The sequence below is a fragment of the Homo sapiens genome, chromosome 17, assembly GCF_000001405.40.
Source record: "Homo sapiens chromosome 17, GRCh38.p14 Primary Assembly".
Lineage (NCBI taxonomy): Eukaryota > Metazoa > Chordata > Mammalia > Primates > Hominidae > Homo > Homo sapiens.
In genome coordinates this window covers 49,359,673-49,381,287 of record NC_000017.11, presented here as the reverse complement: position 1 = coordinate 49,381,287, position 21,615 = coordinate 49,359,673, and the positions used below count along the sequence as shown (strand labels likewise).

Genomic DNA, 21,615 nt, shown 5'->3' with positions numbered 1-21,615 from the left:
TGCAGTAGCTCCCTGTTGCTTATCAGATACAATGTGAACTTTTTGGGCTATTTTCCAGGGCCCTCCCACATGTTTCAAGCACTTATTATTACCCAACAGTGTCCCTTCCTATCCCCAGCACACAAGTGTTTGTAATGTAACTCTCTACATCTGAACAAGAATGAAGACCTTTTTAAGGGAATCATTTTGATGTTTATAGTTGATTTATTCAACAAACATTTACTGAATAACTGCTATGTGCCAGGCACCGTGACAGGTACTAAGACAGTTTTGATGGTGACTAGGGCAAACATGCCTGCTCTGGGGGAGCCCATGAGCTAGCAGGGAGGACAGGCACTAATGATGAAAACAGAATGTGTTGGCCAGGTGCAGTGTCTCATGACTGTAATCCCAGAACTTTGGGAGGCTGAGGGGCGGGGGTGGATCACCTGAGGTCAGAAGTTTGAGACCAGCCTGGGCAACATGGCGAAACCCCATCTCTACTAAAAATACAAAAATTAGCTGGGTGTGGTGGCGCATGCCTGTAGTCTCAGCTACATGGGAGGCTGAGGCAGGAGAATCGCTTGAATCTGGGAGGCGTAGGCTGCGGTGAGCCTAGATCACGCCACTACACTCCAGCCTGGGTGACACAGTGAGACTCCATCTCAAAATAAATAAATAAATAAATAAATAGAATGTGGTGAGTTGTCAGATGGGACAATTTTGGGGTACCTGAGAGTCCTGCTGAGCTGCATTTCCACTGTGGCCTCATAGATTTTTTTTTTTTTCCCACCTGGGTTCTTCACAGAGCAGAGTGTGTCTTGCTGGGACAGAATGGAGACTGTTCCAGGAGGATGTTCACATGGCAAACCCAAAAGGGCGCCAGCCCCCAATCTGTTCTTCCCATCATTGGTGAGGTCTCCCTCTTCCCAAATTCAGTGTCCCGTGGAAGTGACACGGAAAGCAGGGACAGAATTAAGTGTCTAAGAATTCCAAAAGCAAACCCTTTGGATGATGAAATTATGAAGGGCTGCAAAAAGCACTTCACAATTTCACCGTGTTAGGAAATATTAGCTCCCGCCCTCTCCAGAAAGCAGCTTTTTCTGTCTTGTTGGGTGTGATCTATTCTCTTCTGTTCTGACTAAATTGCTCATGACAGGTGGTGCTCCCATGTTTTTGAAACTTGTCCACGAATGAAGGCTCTGACCCCTCATGCCGTTGTTTGATGTTGAGTCAGTGTTTAACCACTATAATTGGCAGAAAAGTCTTCCAACTGTCTCACCAAGATGAGATGCTGCAAATTCCACCCTCTTGCTTGTCTGCTACCCTCTGCAGAATGGAGAAAACAAGGAAAAGTTATAAAGTATTCTCTACTCTGAATGCTCCATAAAAACTCCTACAAAACTGATATAAGTAAAAAGCCATTGGATTTGATGACCCTCACTCTGTCAACATCCCCTATGGACAATTTTTAGAGGATGCGATAGGTGAAAGAAGAAGACGTAGGGTTTGGGCATGCTTGGGTGCTCTCCGAGGGCCCTCTCCTGAATGGGGTTTTCTCCCCACTTGGTGCCTTTGTCACCAAGGCACATTGGGCTGAGGGTAACATTCCTGGTCGTGGAACTGGAATGGATCCCAAGAAGGCTGGGGCAGAGGGAGGATGTACATATGCAGCACAGCGGTAAAGCGTTCCTTTTTAGGTGTGCCTGGGAAAAGTGAAAGTGACTCAATTTCTAAAGGGAGAAAGGCATTGGAGAAAGAGAATTTTCTTTTTTCTTTTTCTTTTGAGACGGAATCTTGCTCTGTCACCCAGGCTGGAGTGCAGTGGTGCAATCTCAGCTCACTGAAATCTCTGCCTCCCGGGTTCAAGCGATTCTCCTGCCTCAGCCTCCCAAGTAGCTGGGACTACAGGCTCATGCCACCAAACCCAGCTAATTTTTTTGTACTTAGTAGAGATGGGGTTTCACCATGTTGGCCAGCCTGGTCTCGAACTCCTGACCTCACGTGATCTGTCCCCCTTGGCCTCCCAAAGTGCTGGGATTACAGGCGTGAGCCATGGGGCCCAGCTGAGAATAAAATTTTCAAAGGCTGCTGCACAAAGTTTGTGGAAGTTTCCTAAATGAAAGGGCAAATCCTTTCCTCTCTCCCTCCCTCCCTTTCTTATTTCCTCCATCCCTCTCTTCTTTTCCTCTCGCTTTCTTGCTTTCCCTCAGAGTCTAAAACAGTGAGTCCCCGCAGAAGCATGTCTTTGTTCTTGCTGGAGTCCACAACCTGGAACACCCTTCCCCTTTTCTCTTCCAGGCGCAATCTTACCATCCTTTCAGCTAAAGTCTAAAGTCCTTTATGTCCCCTTCCCCATCCAGATAAGCTCTGGCTGAACTCTCATTTCTCCCAATTCCCATTTAATTCCACTAAACGATGTGGCTTGATATGATTACATAATGTCTCATGTTCTCCGGCTGTGTAACGCAGTACATGAGTCTTGTCTCCCCAACAAGGTTGTAGACATCTGGAGGGCAGAGCCCAGGCCTTCCATCTGGGAGTCCCTCAGAACACTGAGCACAGGGCTGGGTGTGTAACAGGCTTTTATTGAGACCTTCACTTGCATTTTGCTTCTCATTAAACATCAGAGAATTCATACTGGAGAAAACATTTATAAGTGTAATAAGTGTGCATAAGCCTTTATTTGAGTGGAGTAATCATATTCTACAACATCAGAGAATTCCTACTGGAAAGGAATCTTGTGTCTGGCTATGTCGTGGGAGAGCCCTCGGGGAATTTGGAGGCTTGGAAGGCACACTTTACTCAATACCATGGAACTCAATTACTTGAATGTAGTAACTGTGGGGAAACCTTCACTCAAGATGATATCCAACATCAGCAAGCACCTTAGAGAGGTGAAACTATGAATCTAAAGACTGTGAGACATCCGGGCACGGTGGTGCATGCCTGTAATCCCAACACTTCGGGAGGCCAAAGTGGGCAGATTACTTGAGCTCTCAGGAGTTCAAAACCAGCCTTGGCAACATAGTGGGACCCCATCTCTACAAAGAATTAAAAAAAAAAACAAATAGCTGTGCATGGTGGTGTGTGCCTGTGGTCCCAGCTAGTTGGGAGGCTGAGGTGGGAGGATCACTTGAGCCCAGGAGGTCAAGGGTCAAGGCTGCAGTGAGCCATGATCGCACCACTGCACTCCAGCCTGGGTGACACAACAAGACCCTGTCTCAAAAAGAATGCGAGAAAGCCTCCTCTAAGATCTTCACCAACTAACACCAGAGAATCCACCTGAGAGCAAAGAACAGTGCTAGATGCTGGGGATACAGTGGGGTGCAAAGTAGACACAGTTCCTGTCTTCATGAAGCTTGTCTCTAGATCCATTTCCCAAAGGGATTGATACTTGGAGAGGAAACATTATAGACCGTGGGTACAATTGAAATATTACAGGCCAGAGATGGTGGCTTATGCCTGTAGTCCTAGCACTTTGGGAGGCTGAGATGGGAGGATCGCTTAAGGCCAGGAGTTCTAGACCAGCCCGGGCAACATGGCAAGTCCAAGAAAAAAAGGGAAGGGGAAGGGAAGGGAGGGAAAGGGAAGGGAGGGGAGGGAGGGGGAGGAAAGGGAAGGAAAGGGAATATTACAAAACTTTGGCGAGGCACGGTGGCTCACACCTATAATCCCAGCACTTTGGGAGGCCAAGGTGGGCAGACTACTTGAGGTCAAGAGTTCAAGACCAGCCTGGCCAACATGGTGAAACTCCGTCTCTACTAAAAATACAAAAATTAGCCAGGCGTGGTGTTTCGGGTGGCTGAGGCACGAGAATCACTTGAACCTGGGAGGCAGAGGTTGCAGTGAGCTGAAATTGTGCAGCTGTGCTCCAGCCTGGGCAACAGAGGGAGACCCTGTCTCAAAAAAAATTTTTTGAGAAAATACTACAAAACTTTGATAAGCACCTTTTTCTTTTTTGAACCCGAAGCACTTCCATGTCTGATTTCCTTTGTCCCTGTCTCTTAACAGAGAAGAGAAGGGATGGCTGACCTAATGCATGTTACTGATGGAGAGGTGGAGCTGGAGGGGCTGCATCTCCAGTCCAGGGCATGCTGGCAGGCAGGGTAAGAACTCTTGTCCCTGGGGACCTTTATTTGATGAGCTGAGGACCATGCCAGGTACTAAGGGAGACCAAAGGTCAAATGGGAGGTCCTATCCCCTCACGTAGCTTACAGTCCAGTGAGGAAATGAACAGCTCCTTAAAGTACAGGAGCTGCTTTAAATGGAGTGGACGTAAAACACAGCGGAGGCACAGGAAAAGGAGGCCTAAGTCCCTTTGGGGGAAGTAGGAAAGGCTTCACAGAGGAGGTATTGTTTGAGCTGAGATGTAAAGGATGAGGAGTTTGCCAGATAAACAAGTAAAGAGAGGGTGTTCCAGGTGGAAGAAACAGCACAGACAAGGGCATGGATCGAAGAAAGGGCATGGCCTATTAAGGATGCTGGAGAAGTTCCATATGCAAACCCCTGGTGAGTGAGTGGGGAGACCAGGCTAGCCAGGCAGCTAGGCAAGGGCCAGATAGCAAAAGGCCCTCGAGTGCCTTGCAAAGCAGTTCAGACTTCCCTGTAAACAATGGGGAACCAAATTTATTTCCTACAGCTGCTATAACAAACTACCACAAATGTAGTGGCTTAAAACAACCCAAATCCATTACCTTACAGCTCTGGGCTTAAGTCAACCTGTCGGCAGGTTTGTGTTCCATCTAGGGCTACTTGCATTTCTTGACTCCTGTCCTTCTCCCACCTTCAAAGCCAGCAGTCACATCACTCTAATCTCTGCTTCCACAGTGACACACTCTGAAGCTCCTGCCTCCCTCTTCTAAGGACTCTTGTGGTTACATTGGTCCATCAGATAATCCAGGATAATTTCTGCATCTCAAGATCTTTAACTTAATCACATCTGCAAAGTCCCTTTTGTCATGTAAAGTAACATATTCACAGGTTCCAGAGATTAGGATATGGACATCCTTGGGGGCTATTGTTCTGCTCACTCCGGTAATCCCAGCAGTTTGGGGGGCAGGTGAATCACCTGAGGTCAGGAGTTTGAGACCACCCTGACCAACATGGTGAAACCGTGTCTCTAGTAAAAACACAAAATTTAGCTGGGCATGGTGGTGGGTGCCTGTAATCCCAGCTACTTGGGAGGCTGAGACAGGAGAATTGCTTGAACCTGGGTGGTTGAGGTTGCAGTGAGCCGAGGTTGCACCATTGCACTCCAGCCTAGGCAACAAGAGCAAAACTGTCTCAAAAAAAAAAAAAAAAAAAAAAAAAAGATGGAGTCTCACTTTGTCATCCATGCTAGAGCGCAGTGGTGTGATCACAGCTCACTACAGCCTCCATCTCCCAGGCTCAGGTGATCTCCACCTCACCCTCCAGAGTAGCTGGGACTACAGGTGCGTACTACCATGCTGGCTATTTTTTTTTTTTTTTTGTATTTTTTGTAGGGATGGGGTCTTGCTATGTTGCCCAGGCTATTCCCAAACTCCTGGACTCAAGCAATCTTCCTGCCTCAGCCTCCCAAAGTGCTAGGATTACAGGCATGAGCACTGTGCCCAGACCCTGCTTCCTCTCTGCTGGCATAGAGAAATGAGGTCTAGAAGCTGCCCATCTGTTCCCACTTTATGGTGGGATTCTGTCTGGGTGTTGGATAACATTAAAGAGTAGATGATATTTTGTTTTAGGCTTTCTTTCCTGAGATCTCTGAAACAACTGTTTAATTTGACATGGAGGCCAGTTAAAGACTTCGCAGCATCTTACCTGTGCACCCAGTGCTTCTCAGAGTCAGTGGGCACCTGGTTCTGAATCCCTTGCTTCCCTAATACATTATACCTCCTATCTCTCCATTTCCTAGTACTAATGAATCTGAAGCTAGCAGAGTATCTTTCTCCCGCCTGTTGATTTTTTCCTCTGGAGAACTCCCAAAGAGTAGATATGGATCTCCTAGCAGTGGACCGGACCTGCAAGAAAATGTAGTAGGCTGTTCTTTTTTAATTTTTTTTTTATTATTTTATTATTATTTTTTGAGACAGAGTCTCTCTGTTACCCAAGCTGGAGTGCAGTGGCATGATCTCGGTTCACTGCAATCTCCGCCTTCCGGGTTCAAGCAATTCTCGGGCCTCAGCCTTCTGAGTAAGCTGGGATTACAGGTGTGTGCCACCATGCCTGGCTAATTTTTTGTATTTGTAGTAGAGAGGGTTTCACCATGTTGGCCAGGCTGGTCTTGAACTCCTGACCTCAGGTGATCCACCCACCTCAGCCTCCCAAAGTGCTGGGATTACAGGCATGAGTCCCTGCGCCCAGCTGTAGGCTGTTCTTTTTTTTTTTTTTTTTTTTTTTGGGTTGGTTTGGTTTTGAGACAGAGTCTCGTTCTGTCATCCAGGCTGGAGTGCAATGGCACAATATTGGCTCACTGCAACCTCCACCTCCCAGGTTCAAGGGACCCTTCCACCTCAGCCTCCCAAGTAGCTTGGACTACAGGTGCATGCCAGCAGGCCTGGCTAATTTTTTTTTTTTTTTTTTTTTTTTTTTTTTTTTTGTAGAGACGGGGTCTTGTCATGTTGCCCAGACTGGTCTTGAACTTCTGGGCTCAAGCAATCCATTTGCCTCAGCCTCCCAAAGTGCTGGGATTGCAGGCATAAGCCACTGTGCCCAGCCATTAGGCTGTTCTTACATTGCTATAAAGAAATACCTGAGACTGGATAACGTATAAAGAAAAGAGTTTAATTGGTTCACAGTTCTGCAGGCTGTACAAGAAGCATGGCAACAGCATCTGCTCCTCTTCTAGGGAGGCCTCAGGAAGCTTTTACTCATTGTAGAAGGTGAAGTGGGAGCAGGCATGTCACATGGCAAAAGTAAGAGCAAGACAGTGAGTGATGGGGGTGGGGGTGGGGGCGGGGGGTGGCGCCACAACTTTGAAACAACCGGATTGAGAGAACACACTCACTGTGGTGAGAACAGCACGAAGCCATGAGGGATCTGCTCCCATGACCCCAATACCTCCCATCAGGCTCCACTTCCAATACTGGGGATTATATCTGAACATGAGATTTGGAGAGGACATCTAAGCTGTATCAGTAAGGTCTCCAGACAAAATACAGAACACCTTGTTAAATTTGAATTTCAGATAAACAGTGAATAATTTTAGTATAGGTTGAGTATCCCTTATCCAAATGCTTGGAACCAGAAGTGCTTTGGATTTCAGATTATTTTGTCAGGGATACTCAACCTGTATAAGTATATCCCAAATATTACTATACGTTGAGTGCTACTTTGTTAACCAGATTATTTGATTAACGAGAACACTCCATTCCCTAACTTCACCAAATAATACTTTACTGTATGTTCTCTAATGCAACCTATAAGGCAGATTGTTATTCAAGCCCTGAAAGTTCCAGTACCTTCTTACAGATGACTTTGTAGTAATACAGGTAAGAGAAGAAAGGCTATGATTCTAAAGGAATAGGGGAGGGGCCTAAGGTCAGAAGAGTGGGGACTGGTCCCTCTTATTTCATGACATAGATTCTTCTGCTGCCCAGCTCTGAGATTCAGATAGGCTTAGCTCCTGCTCTAGATTTCACCTGCCCTTTCATTAATGGACAGCATCATGACCCCACCCCATGACCTAAGGACCACCAGGAGACCCATTCTGTTTAAGTACATTGAGGTTTTGTTGTTGTTGTTGTTGTTTAAAACAAGGTGTTGCCCAGGTGCAGTGGCTCATGCCTGTAATCCCAATAATTTGGGAAGCCGAGGTGGGAGAATTGCTTGAGCCCAGGAGTTCAAGACAGCCTGGGGAACATAGTGAGACTGCCATTCCTACAGAAAATTTAAAAATTCACTTGAGGTCAGGAGTTCAAGACCAGCCTGGCCAACATGTGAAACCCCGACTCTACTAAAAAAAAATACGAAAATTAGCTGGTCACCATGGTGCACGCCTGTAGTCCCAGCTACTCGGCAGGCTGAGTCAGAAGAATTGCTTGAATCCGGGAGACGGAGGTTGCAGTGAGCCAAGATCACAACACTGTACTCCAGCCTGGGTGACAGAGCAAGACTCTGTCTCAGAAAGAAAAAAGAAGAGAGAGAGAGAGAGAGAAAAGAAAATTTAAAAATTACCTGGACATGGTGGCACAGGCCTGTAGTCCCAGCTACTCAGGAGGCTGCAGCAGGGGGATCACTTGAGCCTGGGAGGTCCAGGCTGCAGTGAACCGTGATTGTGTCACTGTACTCCAGCCCGAGTGACAGAGCAAGACTCTGTCTAAAATAAAATAAAAAATAAATAAATGTACTATACAATACACACTCTATATTGCTGCCTTTGATATTTGACTGGAATAATGATGATGACTTTCCCATCTACCAGATGTGAATACAAAGTCCGTCTTTGGATTGGAGCATATATAATAATTTGTAGTAATCGCTGCTATGTTTAACTCTGCAAGGCCAGCCACTATTGGCACTAAAGTTTGCTCAAGGCTTTTGGAGCAACCGCTATCCCATGTGATTCCCCCAATCTAAGAAAACTCCTTTTTTAACTTCCCTCAAGCCTTTGCTCTAAATTTCCCTTCTTGGTCCGCCGGGGCAGATACCTGAAGTCTTGCCCCATCTCTAGCAGAGACTCAGCCAATCGGGGCCTCACCATGCAGTATTGGGGCATTTCCAGGCCGTCCTCCACTGGAGCATGTTGTTCAGGCTGGTGCTCTTAGGTGGGGCTTGAGTTTGTTTCCTTCCTTTCTTTTCTTTTTCTTTTTCTTCCTTTTTTTTTTTTTTTTTTTTTTTTTTGACAGAGTCTTGCTCTGTCACCCAGGATAGAGTGCAGTGACGCGATCTTGGCTCACTGCAACCTCTGCCTTCCAGGTTCAAGTGATTCTCATGCCTCAGCCTACTAAGTAGCTGGGACTACGGGTGTGAACCACCACATCTGGCTAATTTTTGTATTTTTAGTAGAGATGGGGGTTTCATCATTTTGGCCAGGCTGGTCTCGAACTCCTGGCCTCAAGTGATCCACCCGCCTTGGCCTCTCAAAGTGCTGAGATTATAGGCATGAGCTACCGCTCCTGGCCGAGTTTTCAACATCAAAGTTGTGTTGGCATCTTATGGTGGTGATTTCTGACCTCACTTCATTTAAGCATCGTTTCAGAGACTTTAGATAATGCAAAAAATTATAACAGTTTACGATGCCCTAATCGAACTCTGGATATTATCCCCGTGTAAATGAACTAACCCAGTCAGCCAAGGGCAGCAAGCCTAGCAGACTGGCCACAGGACACCAGTTCAGTCCTCAGGTGCACAAGGATTGTTTGTGTCTGCTTGCACCAACATTTACTTTTTAGGAAAAGGTGGCCCTCAGGGGCCAGGGGAATTAATGACTTAATGCCTACAATCTCTAGGAACAACTTTCTCCAGATAAGGTCTCATTATCGTTAATTGTTATTATTACTGTTATTAACCCAACTCCTAGGAAAAGCTGCCACAGCATTGTTAACGACCTCAGGTAAGGGGTTTAATTAACACCTCCTCTGAGTGCTGAGGCCTCAGGCACCATGTTACCGCCCCCACACCCAGGCTCCACCTCCTCTGAGCTCCGCCCATAGGCCTCTCCACCCCCGGATCCTTCCATTCCCTACCGGAGCTGCTACACCGTTCTCACACCTGCGAACCCCTCCCCCTCCCATTCCAGCCCCCTGGCTTCCCCTCCCCCAAAATCTCGCCTGCCCCTCACATACTTCCATTTGAATTTCCCACCCCTTTTTCCCAGTTACCTAGTCCCCCCGAACAGTTCTCAAGAGCTAAGCCTTTGGGGGATCATGAAAGTGAAGAGTGGGTCCCTTGAGCCCCACCGTTCCCCCTTGCAAGCCCCTCTTCCCTGCACTGCTTCCCAGCACTTCCATCCCATCTCATCTCCATGAGAGCTGCAGGGATTGTTCCTCAGGTGGTGAGGCCAGTTGGGTTGGTTGGCTGGTTTAGGGTTACAGAGCTTGGCACCAACTACCAGGCCCGTGCAGCTGCCTTCTTTAATTAATTAATTCCAATTTTTTTAAAAAACCATCTCAATTGGACCTCAGTGCATGCCTCTGGGGCATATGTCACATCAATTACAGACAACAATTAAGCTTGCTGCTTAAAAAGATTTGTGAGTCTCTTTAAAGACTCAAACACAATTTGGGCCTCGCTCCCTTAGATCCTTAGATCATTCTACTGGAGACAAGAGCCTGAGGCAGAACCCCCAAAGGATGAATTGAGGGCTGCAACAGTCTGCTCTGAGATAGGAGGATAGGGAATTCTCCGGCTGCAGGTCTTTGCCCACACTACCTAACCCCAGGGTTCCTTTCTACCTTTGCTTAGGGATCCAGGAAGCCAAGCTATTGCAGGTGGGTGGTGGCCTCACTTCTCTGGGATAAGACCAATTTCTCTCAAATTCAGAAGTCCACCTCTTCATTGTCCTACCCGACTGCCCTGCATGGATAAGGACGAATCTCAGGCCGTCTAAAAATAGGATGGGTATTGAGTTGACGTGTCTTTTTTCCCAGCAGTAGAGATGGTATATACAGGATATACATTTTCATCCCAGTGGTTTGAATTAGGCGAATGGTTAAAGATGTTGCTCGAGGGCACAGATGACTTTTTTTCTTCTCTTTTCCTTCCTTTTTTTTGGGGGGGGTGGGGATAGAGTTTTGCTTTTGTTTCTCAGGCTGGAGTGCAATGGAGCAATCTCAGCTCACTGCAACCTCTGCCTCCTGGGTTCAAGCGATTCTTCTGCCTCAGCCTCCTGAGTAGCTGGGACTACAGGTACATGCCATCATATCCAGCTATTTTTTTTTTTTTTTTTTTTTTGTATTTTTAGTAGAGACAGGGTTTCACCATATTGGCCAGGCTGGCCTTGAACTCCCGAGCTCAGGTGATCCACCCGCCTCGGCCTCCCAAAGTGCTGGGATTATAGGCTTGAGCCACCGCGCATGGCACAGAGATGATTTCTTAATGGTCCTTCATTCCCACTTTGTGTTACACTTGGTAGCTGCTCAGGGAAAGTTTACAGATTGTTGAAGACGAGGAGGGGAAAGAGTTTGCATGCAGTTACAAATATTTTTCCAGGTGCAAAGCAAGTAGGCAAAAATGGGACTGGCCCAAAACCTTAGTCTTATTAACATTGCTCTCTACTCAACTGGAATTTAAAAAATATCAGTAGACCAGGTGAACATGCCTTTCCTTATCTATTTAACTCAGTTATTTATTGCGTATGTGAGTTGACACTAAATCACTTTGTCCTTTTATGTTTGCCAGAATTGTGGCTGTCCATTTGAGTCCAAACTTTCAGAGGGCAGAGAACACATCTGCTCAATTTGCTTTGTATGGTATCCAGCAAAGGGCTGCAGTAGGGTGTCATAGAGAAGTCCTGGACTTGGACCTTGGAGACCCAGGTTTTAGTTCTTGCTGCTGTGTGGCCCTTAAAATCCAGACTGCATTTTTATTTGCTGTAAAACAAACAAACAAAAACAAAACAAAACAAAAAAACAGCAAGGGGCCAGGCACAGTGGCTCACTCCTGCCTGTAATCCTAGCACTTTGGGAGGCTGAGGCAGACAGATCCCTTGAGCTCAGGAATTCGAGAACAGCCTGGGCAACATGGCAAAACTCTGTCTCTACTAAAATACAAAAAAAACTGAAGTGAGAGGATCACCTGAGCCTGGGGAGGTCGAGGCTGCAGTGAGCTGTGATCGTGTCACGGGACTCCAGTCTGGGCAACAGCCACCCATCTCATAAAAAACAAAAACAAAAACAAAAAACAAGGGCCAGATCTCCCAGCACTTTGGGAGGCTGAGGCAGGAGGATAGCTTCAGCTCAGGAGTTGGAGACCAGCCTGGTCACATAGTGAGACCTCGTCTATACTAAAAATAAAAAAGAATTAGCCAGATGTGGTGGTGTGTGCCTGTAGTCCCAGCTACTTGGGAGGCTGAGGTGGGATCACTTGAGCCCAAGAAGTCAAGGCTACAGTGAGCTATGATCATGCCACTGCATTCCAGCTTGAGTGACAGAGCAAGAGCCTGTCTCAAAGAAAAAAAAAGAAAGGAAACAAACCAAAACCAAACAGTGGAAAACAGTGGGAACAACATTTTCTGTCCTTTGCTCTCAGGATTGAGAGAAGGATTAAATGAAGTAATGCAGAAGAAAAATGTGTAGAAATTGCCACATAAATATGTTTTCTTTAACACTATAAAATGCATTTTGGTTTTTTGTGGGTTTTTTTGTTTGTTTGATTTTGGTTTTTTGAGATGGAAACTCGCTCTGTCGCCCAGGATGGAGTGCAGTGGCACGATCTCAGCTCACTGCAACCTCTACCTCCTGGCTTCAAGCAATTCTCCTGCTGAGGCCTCCTGAATAGCTGGGACTACAGGTGCCTGCCACCACGCCGGCTAATTTTTTGTATTTTTAATAGAGACAGGGTTTCACCATGTTGGCCAGGATGGTCTCGATCCCCTGACTTCGTGATCCGCCTGCCTTGGCCTCCCAAAGTGCTGCATTACAGGCGTGAGCCACCAGGCCCGGCCCATGAAATGCATTTTGATGTTAACACCAGAGTAGTCAAAATTCAAATTCTGAGATGTTTCAAATGGAGAAGCTGATGTAGAGACCAGAGCTTCTGGCTGCAGTCCAGGATTTGCTGCAATACCCGCTGTCAGGACATGGGGGCAGTATTAGGGTAGAAGAAAGCTCTAGCTAAAACCAAACTTTAGACCTATGTGACATTGGCTATCCCAATGGCCTCCTTATCACTACAGCTGCACTCATATATCTGGCCTCTTAGTACATACTCTTTTGTTCTTCTAGGCATCCTGGCATTTATTTATTTATTTATTTATTTATTTATTTATTTATTTATTTATCATTGAGGCGGAGTTTCACTCTTGTTGCCCAGGCTGAGTGCAGTGGCACAATCTCAGCTCACTGCAAGGGCCTCCCAGGTTCAAGCAATTCTCCTGTCTCAGACTCCTGAAGTAGCTGAGATTACAGGTGCCCGCCACCATGCCTGGCTAATTTTTTTGTATTTTTAGTAGAGATGGAGTTCCTTTTCTCTTCTTTTTCCTTCCTTCCTTCCTTCCTTCCTTCCTTCCTTCCTTCCTCCCTTCCTTCCTTCCCTCTTTCTTTCGAGATGGAGTCTTGCTCTGTCGCCTAGGCTGGAGTGCAGTTGTGCGATCTTGGCTCACTGCAACATCCGTCTCTCAGGTTCAAGTGATTCTCCTGCCTCAGCCACCCAAGTAGCTGGGATTACAGTTGTGTGCCACCAAACCCGGCTAATTTTTGTATTTTTAGTAGAGATAGGGTTTCACCATGTTGGCCAGGCTGGTCTCGAACTCCTGACCTCAGGTGATCCACCCACCTCAGCCTCCAAAAATGCTGGGGTTACAGGTGTGAGCCACTGTGCCTGGTCCTGGCATTTAATTACTATTTACTAAAATTCAAGTAGGGCTGGTGGGAGGTGGGGGGCCACAGAGTGAAGGTGCCCATGGCCCATATCCCTTTAAGAATGAACATATACATACATTTGTGCATGCATGCATGTACATATACAAGCCCTATGACGAAAAGCTAAAAATCCAGCTTTCTGAGCTGTCTCCGGATACTGTCACTTAGAGATATGAGAAAAAGTGAGGAAAAAACGGGAATCTAGGACAACTTTATTCATTCTGTAAAAGGGGCAGTTTCTTGTAGGAAGGGCTTAGGGATGATCTTTGGATAGTAATTCTTAGGAAAGGAATGAAATTGCCATGTATTAATGAACATAATCAAGTCTTTAGATTACAGTCCTGGGTATCAGATCTGGAGGACCCTAACAGTCATATAATTCCCCCATTTTATTTATTTATTTATTTGAGATGGAGTTTCACTGTGTCACCCAGGCTGGAGTACAGTGGCATGATCTCGGCTCACTGCAACCTCCGCCTCCCAGGTTCAAGCGATTCTCCTGCCTCAGCTGCCTCAGAGTAGCTGGGACTACAGGCATGTGCCACTATACCTGGCTAATTTTTGTATTTTTAGTAGAGACAGGGTTTCACCATGTTGGGTGGTCTCAAACTCCTGACCTCAGGTCATCCACCTCCCTCAGCCTCTCAAAGTGCTGGGATTACAGGCATGAGCCGCCGCGCCCGGCCAGTCTCCCCTTTTTATAAAGCCTAAATGGTGAAATGATTGAGTAAAAGTCAAGTGTGAGAACCTAGGAGGCCATGACCAGGGCTCTGGCTCTAAGTCTGGTACTGTATGTAGGATGTGATCTTAGTTAATGGGTGAGCAAGGAGCCATGGCCGCTGACCCTGTATATGTACAGGTGGTAAAAACTATTATTCACTGGAGGTACATCCCTAGGAATTTAGGAAGTGAGGAAATGCAGTGAGCAGGGAGCTTGTATCAAGCCATCCTGTTCACATTACCAGGAACCAGATATCTCTGCTGCTATTTAAATTAAATGTGTGAAGGTTTTAAGAATTCTCAAAATGTACAGAACTTTTAAATAAGAATTTTAAATTAAAAAACAGGTTCTGGGCTGGGCGCGGTGGCTCACGTCTGTAATCCCAGCACTTGGGGAGGCCGAGGCGGGCAGATCACCTGAGGTTGGGAGTTCGAGACCAGCCTGACCTACATGGTGAAATCCCATCTCTACTAAAAATACAAAATTAGCTGGGCGTGGTGGCGCATGCCTGTAATCCCAGCTGGTTGGGAGGCTGAGGCAGGAGAATTGTTTGAATCCAGGAGGCAGAGGTTGCGGTGAGCCGAGATCGCGCCATTGCATTCCAGCCTGGGCAACAAGAGCAAAACTCCGCCTCAAACAAACAAAACAAAAACAAACAAACAAAAAACAGGTTCTGGCCAGGCACAGTGGCTCACACCTGTAATCTCAGTACTTTGGGAGGCTGAGGCCAGCTGATTGCTTGAGTTCTAGAGTTCAAAACCAGCATGGGCAACATGGCAAAACCCCATCTCTACAAAAAAATACAAAAATTAGTTAGGCATAGTGGCATGCACCTGTGGTCCCTAGCTACTCAGGAGGCTGAGGTGGGAAGATTGCTTGAGCCCAGGAGGTCGAGGCTATAGTGAGTTATGACAGAACCTCTGCACTCCAGCATGGGTGACAGAGGGAGACCCTGTTTCAAAAAAAAACAAAACAACAACAACAACAACAACAAAAACCCCAAAAAAAGAAAAAACAGGGTTCTGCTGCTTTCTGCCCACTGCCTTAATGAATAAAAGTTAGTGAAGAACTATCCAAGGCCAGGAAACCAGGACGACAGAAGCCTGATCTTCCAATCAGGTCAGATGTAGGAGCTAAATATTGCCTTCAATGACTGCCAAGCTGCAGTGTCAGCAGCTGAACAAGGGAGGCACTGGAACCAGCCCTCTTGTGGTCTGTCAAGTGGTAACATTGGTTGGCAGCCCTCATCCCCATCCCTCAGACAGATGTGTGAGGAGAAAGAGGTAAAGGAGGGCGGGCAGAGGAACTGGAATCTCCAGAAAGGGACCTTGCTAGCCCTGAGGCCCAAGGCCCTCCAAAGCACCAGATCACAGAGGCAAGTCCCAGGCTTCTGGGGAGAGAAAGAAAGAAAGAAGAAGGAAAAAAACATTAAATAAAGGAGATAGAGAAGTAGAACTGAATGTTAGAATTATTCTCCATCACATGCTAAGGGCACCTGTTTTCACTACATGGCAATAAATGGCGGATTCTCAGAGCAGGCCTGTCAAAGCCTCTGAAAGACCAGCAGGCTGGGAGTCAGGGAGCCTGGGGCCTGCTTTGGCTCCGTTGTTTACTGAGCTGGGTGACTTTGCCTGAGCCATTAAACATTCCTTGGCCTGAATTTCCTTCATTGGGAATAATATCTATCCTGTCTGCCTTGCAGGGTTGTTGGAAGATCTGATGAGATAATGGACATAAGTCCGGATGCGATGGCTCACGCCTGTAACCCTAGCACTTTGGGAGGCTGATGCGGGCGGATTGCCTGAGGTCAGGAGTTTGAGACCAGCCTGGCCAACATGGCAAAACCCCGTCTCTACTAAAAATACAAAAATTAGCCGGGTGTGGTGGTGCGCATCTATAATCCCAGCTACTCAGGAGGCTGAGGCAGGAGAATCGCTTGAACCCAGGAGGTGGAGGTTTCAGTGAGCCGAGATAACGCTACTGCACTCCAGCCTGGACGACAAGAGCAAGACTTCGTCTCAAAAAAAAAAAAAAAAAAAAAAAAGAAAGAAAGAAAAAGAGATAAGGGACATAACCTCCCTGCAAAAACCATACTTAGTTACTAGGAATCCTTCAGAGAGTTGGCCTGTGGGTGGAGAGTCACAGACACTGGGAAAGTCACCTCATTCATTAGCCATCATTCTGCACACCCCTCTTCTAAGCTGGATAGCTCTGACTAGCAGAGGGTGGGGAACGGATCAAATGTCTAAAAAGGCAAAGCGAGACATTGACCTCACTGAGATGTCCCAGGCTCACCAGCTCCTATGGATACCATGGTCTTTCTCACATTGAATCTGTCTCTCCTTTTATTACTTCTGCTTATTTCCTCCTGTTCTACCTGAAGATTTTCTCTCTACCTGCTGAAATATGGTATTGTTTTTAGTGTTTATTCACTGAAAAAAACTCATTATTGAAAAACATGACCCAAAGTTGCCAAAATTATCCCTAGAGTCCAGAGACCAGATGTAATAAAAGTCAAGCATCTGTTTTTGGAAGGGGACAAGGACAGAGTCAGCTCTTGGACCCCTTTGCTTAGAAAGTTTCAATCTTTTCCCTAACCTTGTCCCAGACTCAGGTCATCTTACTCCCTGCAGGATTTTGGGTCACGGGAGTGGGGTGCTTGTTGGAGTCTATTTTGTGTTGCTGTAACAGAATACCACAGACTGGGTAATTTAAAAAGAATAGAAATTTATTTCTTACAGTTCTGGAGGCTGGGAAATCCAATATCAAGGCGCCCTCATCTGGTGTGGGTCTTCTTGCTGCATCATCCCCTAGCAGAAGGCAGGAGGGCAAGAGAGTACATGAGAGAGCAACAGAGCAAAGGGGTCCAAACTTGATTTTATAACAAGCCCACTTTTGAGATAACTAACCCACTGTTTATTTTTTAATTAATTAATTAATTTATTATTATTATTTTTTGAGACAGAGCCTCACTCTGTCACCCAAGCTGGAGTGCAATGGCGCGATCTCAGCTCACTGCAACCTCCGCCTCCCAGGTTCAAGTGGTTCTCATGCCTCAGCCTCCTGAGTAGCTAGAATAATAGGTGCATGCCACCACGCCCAGCTAATTTTTTTGTATTTTTAGTAGAGACGGGTTTCACCATGTTGGCCAGGCTGGTCTCAAACTCCTGGCCTCAAGTGATCTGCCTGCCTTGGCCTCCCAAACTGCTGGGATTACAGGCATGAGCCACTGCGCCCGGCCTGGAGATAACTAACGCACTGTTTATGATATGAATCCATTCATGAAGGCAGAGCCCTCATGACCTAATAAACTCTTATTAGGCCCCAGTTTCCAACACTTTTGCATTGGGATTATTAAGTTTCCAACATGTGAACTTTGGGGGACACATTCAAACCATAGCAGTGCTATTTTAGGGAAAAGTAGCTGCATGTGTATTGAAAATGTCAGCCAGGTACAGTGGCTCATACCTGTAATCCCATTACTTTGGGAGGCTGAGGTGGGAGGACTGCTTGAGCCCAAGAGTTTGAGACCAACCTGGGGAACATAGGGAGACCTTGTCTCTACAAAAATTTAAAAATTATCCAGGTGAGGCAGCACACTCCTGTAGTCCCAGCTACTCCACAGGCTGAGGTGGGAGGCTTATGTGAGCGTGGTAGGAGGAGGCGGCAGTGAGCCGTGATCATGCTACTGCGCTCCAGCCTGAGTGACAGAGTGAGACCATGTCTCAAATAAGAAAAAAAAAAAAAGAAAAAGAAAATGTTTATGTGCTATTGGGGTCAGCCTTAGTGCAAGAACATTAGTTAAGTGTGCTTTTAATAATGGAAGGAGTTCCAATTAAGGTAGGATTTGGACAACTTCAGGGAAGTTTGGTTTATGTTGGGAAAGGGAACCCTGACCTCGGATTTGCTGTCTTGGGTCTTTTCCATCCCAGGCCTTCACCTTGCCGGGTTCATTTCCTCTCCCTGTACCCTAAACACTTTCAATTATGGACACTCTCTTGTCTCTGAACTCGGATAAATGCTACCTTGTTAACTAATAGTACCACTGAGTATATTAATGATTAATAGCTAATTAGTCATAATACTGTAATACAATGGAGGCTTCCTTTACCGCAGCTGCTGTAGGTCTCAAACACACACATCCCCTTCCCTATTCCTGGCCACAGGACAGGCGAGGCTCTAAATCTGTTTTTCTGAGCACCCTGGCAATCTCGAAACTGTTCAGTTTTTAGCGGTCCCATTCATACGGCGAATGACCACTACTGCTTGCATGCTGCCGAGCTGATTTCTGCCCCCCGTCACTCCCACTGCCCTCCAAGGAGAACAAGGAGGTCAGCAGTCGTTAAGTTTTTATTCAAAGTCTCTTTTTACTTCCAAATCTCACGTCGACCCACTTTTCTGCTTTGGCCCGTTTCTTCACTTTACCTTCCCCATCCTAACCCGCGCCTATTTTGTGGAATCCCACAGCAGCGCCTGCTACAACCCCCTGCACTCTTCACTTTGGCTTCCTTTCGGCAACCACGCCCCCCGACTCACGGAGAGCGCCGCGCATGCGCAGCTCTCGTCTTTACCTGGGCTCCCGGCAGTGGGCGGAGTGGGAGAAGGCGGGGGCGGCGCGGGGAGCCGGCGGTTATCTGGGCGGCGGAGCGCTCACAATGTGGCAGGAGACAGAAAAGGTGCGCCCGGGCCGGCCCGAGGGCTGCGCATGCGCGCCGCCGCTCCCAGCGGCCGGGATGCTGAGGGGGCGGGCGGAGGGAGGTGTCGGGATCCCCGTTGGGCGGGGGGGCCAGCGAGGGAAGGGGCCGCGGGCGCGCGCGGGCGCGCGCGTCCTCGCCGCCGCTCGCCTCCCTCCCTGCCCCCTCCGGCACACACATCCACACACGCACACCCCCTCCCCTGCCGCCCGCCCCGCGCTGCCCGCCCCGCCGGCCCCGCTCGCCCTCGCGCGCTGGGAAGGGAGTCGCGAGACGTCGGAGCGGCGGCCACGTAGCGCTGCGGCGGCAGCGGCAGCGGCCGAGGCCGGGTCTGAGGAGCGGCCCTGAGGACAGACGTTGGGCAGGGGGGGAGGGGCTGGCCCAGCCGGCGGTTGTGACTCGAGCGCCGCGGCTGCAGGCCCCCGCCGCAGGGATGGACCGCCGAGGCGGCGGCCGGGGCGGCGGAGGCGGAGGCGGCCGGCCCGGGTGAGTAAGGGCCCCTTCCCCCACGCACTCGCCACCGCCGCGGCGGCGCCCCCGGCAGCCCTTCCTCTCCGCCGCCCGCGGGGCCGGCCCGGGCTCCGGGGGCCGGCGTAACCCTTCGCCGAGGCAGCTGCGTGCGCTAGGCCGGAGCAGCCCCCATCCGGCTGGGAGGCCCCGGGCGCTGAGCTCCTCAGGCACCCAGCTTGGGCTGGGGGCGCCCCGCTCCTGCTCTTTCGCCCCCTTCCTCCTGGACCCGGGCTTGGCTGCAGTTTTGCAGCGGGTCCGCTCGCCCTGAGGCCTGAGGGGAGGCTGGGGCGGCACGGGTTAGCGGGCCGAGAGGAGGTTTGCACCGGTCCTCCTGCGAGCGTTCTCCTGCCCTGCAGCTGGTGGCTTGCACCCACTACCTCCCCCGCCTTGCGGTTGCACCCAAACCTCCAACCCCCGGGAGTATTGTGCCGCCAGTAGATAAAATGCGTCTGATGTACACCCGCCACCGGCAGCCCCACACTCACCCCAGTGGGTAATGCAGACCTTTCTCCACCCCCACCTCCTCCTCCCCTCCAATCAGGCTCTGCTGAAGATTCTTAGATCCGAGACACCAAAGGTAGTGACACCCCCGTTACATCTCCACGTAACATGTTCATTGTCGAGGGATGTCTCCAATAGAAATGATAAATGCCCCTGCCTCACCTCGAAGTCTGTCTTCAGGATTCGAGACCTTCTCTGAAAAGGTCCAGCTTTGATCACAACTAGAGCATCCCTCCCCCACAACACAGACACACTCATACACTCACTCACTTCCTGATTGCCGAGCAGCCCCTGTCACCGCGGATCCATTGTCAGAAATGGCTTTTGCCAATCAAAGGAATGTGCTTGTGCCTTTGGAGAAGGGTGCTTTCCACATCCACGTTTTCGGGGTGTTCCTGCGTGAGTCTGCCTTTGCCCCCAGATTGTTCCCGTGTTCAAGCATCATTATCATAGTGTATCCCTTACATGCATCTCCCGTGGACCCTCAGGAACACCTGAGTGATGCTTTTTTCCCAGTTGATTAGATATGGTGTGTGCAAGTTTCTCCTATTTTGTTGTAGTGTTTGGGATCTATGATCAAGGCATAATGTATTCGTAGGGTAGTATTCAGGAAAGAATGTGTATTTTTTTTTTCCAGAGGATGGCCAGGCCCGTATTGTTCTGGGAATGGCAACTAGCACATGCTTTGTTGACAACATGTGTGTGCTTAGGGATTGAGGAGCTGCTGTTGCTGGGATGTGTGGTGTCTGAGCTGAATACAGGTGATGTCGTCGAGTGGGGCTGTTTTGTGAGTGGGGCTTGACACTGTGATTGTCAGTGGTGGCAGGCAGCTTGGTTGTTTATATCAGGACCGTGCACAGTATTCAGATAGGTAATACCTTTAGTATAATTTTGTTTAAACTGTTCACTAAGTTTTAGTGATCCTGGAACTGACTTCAGTGGTTAGTAATCTTTGTTTGGGTTCATGGAAGTCTTTAGAACCGTCTTCTCCATTAAATAGACACATAATTTTGTATGCCACTAAAGTCAACTTGAAGCTGGTCCTGGGACTTCAGGTTAAGATCTCTGTTATGCAAAAGTGAAAGGAACTTGCGTTGTGTGTTTTGTTTAGTTGGTTAGTTTTTTTTTAAAAAGGATTAGAGTACATTGTCTGGCCCTGAGCAATAAACAACAAAGTAGCTTATGCATGTAACCTTGTGTTTTGTTCTTTGATTAGGATAAGTTAGGTATTTGTAAATTATCATTTCCTCGTTTTCCTGTAAAAAGGAAATGTATGTGAGAGTCTTTCAGAAAAAGTTAAAACTAGAGTCAAAATAATTTGTTTAGACTTGACCAATTGGTAATGTATGTTCCTGGCACCAGATTCTAAATGTAGCAAATTTCAACAGCAAAGTCCAAGGTCTGTTTTATAATGCCTATCCTGAATCTTTATGCGTTGGCTGAAGTTGATCTGATCTCTTAAAAGAAGGCTATATCATTCTCATAGCGGTGTACCTGCTCCATAAAAAGGATTTTTTTTTCAACTTTGTTAACTGTGATTTCATGTCTTAATGGGGATGGTGCCATCAAAATCATTCATTTTGAAATTTTGTTTTAATGGAAGGATTTTAATTGTGGTTAGGGAATTCAGCCTCCATATATAGAATCTGGAACTGAGGATGAACTTTGCACCATTCTATCAATAAGCAGGTGATAAATATCAGCTATTTTT

The 21,615-nt window shown here is 47.7% G+C and overlaps 1 protein-coding gene and 1 long non-coding RNA gene across 9 annotated transcripts in view, besides 2 other annotated features; one reads left to right on the top strand and one right to left on the bottom strand.

Moving 5' to 3' along the window:
• Positions 1-1,193: 1,193 nt before the first annotated feature.
• ZNF652-AS1 (ZNF652 antisense RNA 1) lies at positions 1,194-20,123 on the bottom strand. Of its 3 annotated transcripts, NR_110883.1 has the most exons (5): positions 19,889-19,918; positions 16,939-17,009; positions 8,134-8,275; positions 5,779-5,978; positions 1,194-1,308 (listed from the first exon to the last, which is right to left on the bottom strand). It is a non-coding gene; the product is annotated as a ZNF652 antisense RNA 1 (long non-coding RNA). The 3 variants fall into 3 exon arrangements; NR_110884.1 differs by lacking the exons at positions 1,194-1,308; positions 5,779-5,978; positions 8,134-8,275; positions 19,889-19,918 and adding exons at positions 15,173-15,589; positions 20,067-20,123; NR_110882.1 differs by lacking the exons at positions 1,194-1,308; positions 5,779-5,978; positions 8,134-8,275; positions 19,889-19,918 and adding exons at positions 15,173-15,589; positions 18,771-18,906.
• Positions 18,670-19,539: a silencer, noted in NCBI's record as "silent region_8668". NCBI's record gives its function as "represses an Ori minimal core promoter by ATAC-STARR-seq in GM12878 lymphoblastoid cells {active_cell/tissue: GM12878}" and the evidence as "EXISTENCE:reporter gene assay evidence [ECO:0000049][PMID:35858748]".
• Positions 18,815-21,615, top strand: part of ZNF652 (zinc finger protein 652) — a 74,357-nt gene continuing 71,556 nt past the window's right edge. For 4 of the 6 annotated variants that reach the window (NR_135579.2, XM_047435628.1, NM_001145365.3 and 1 more), the window contains exon 1: positions 19,038-19,379. The gene's annotated coding sequence lies outside the window, so the exon portion shown is untranslated. Of the gene's footprint in view, positions 18,876-19,037; positions 19,380-21,615 lie in introns of those variants that run through there. The other 2 variants (XM_047435629.1, NM_014897.2) reach the window with 1 other exon arrangement.
• Positions 20,080-20,139: an enhancer, noted in NCBI's record as "active region_12360". NCBI's record gives its function as "activates an Ori minimal core promoter by ATAC-STARR-seq in GM12878 lymphoblastoid cells {active_cell/tissue: GM12878}" and the evidence as "EXISTENCE:reporter gene assay evidence [ECO:0000049][PMID:35858748]".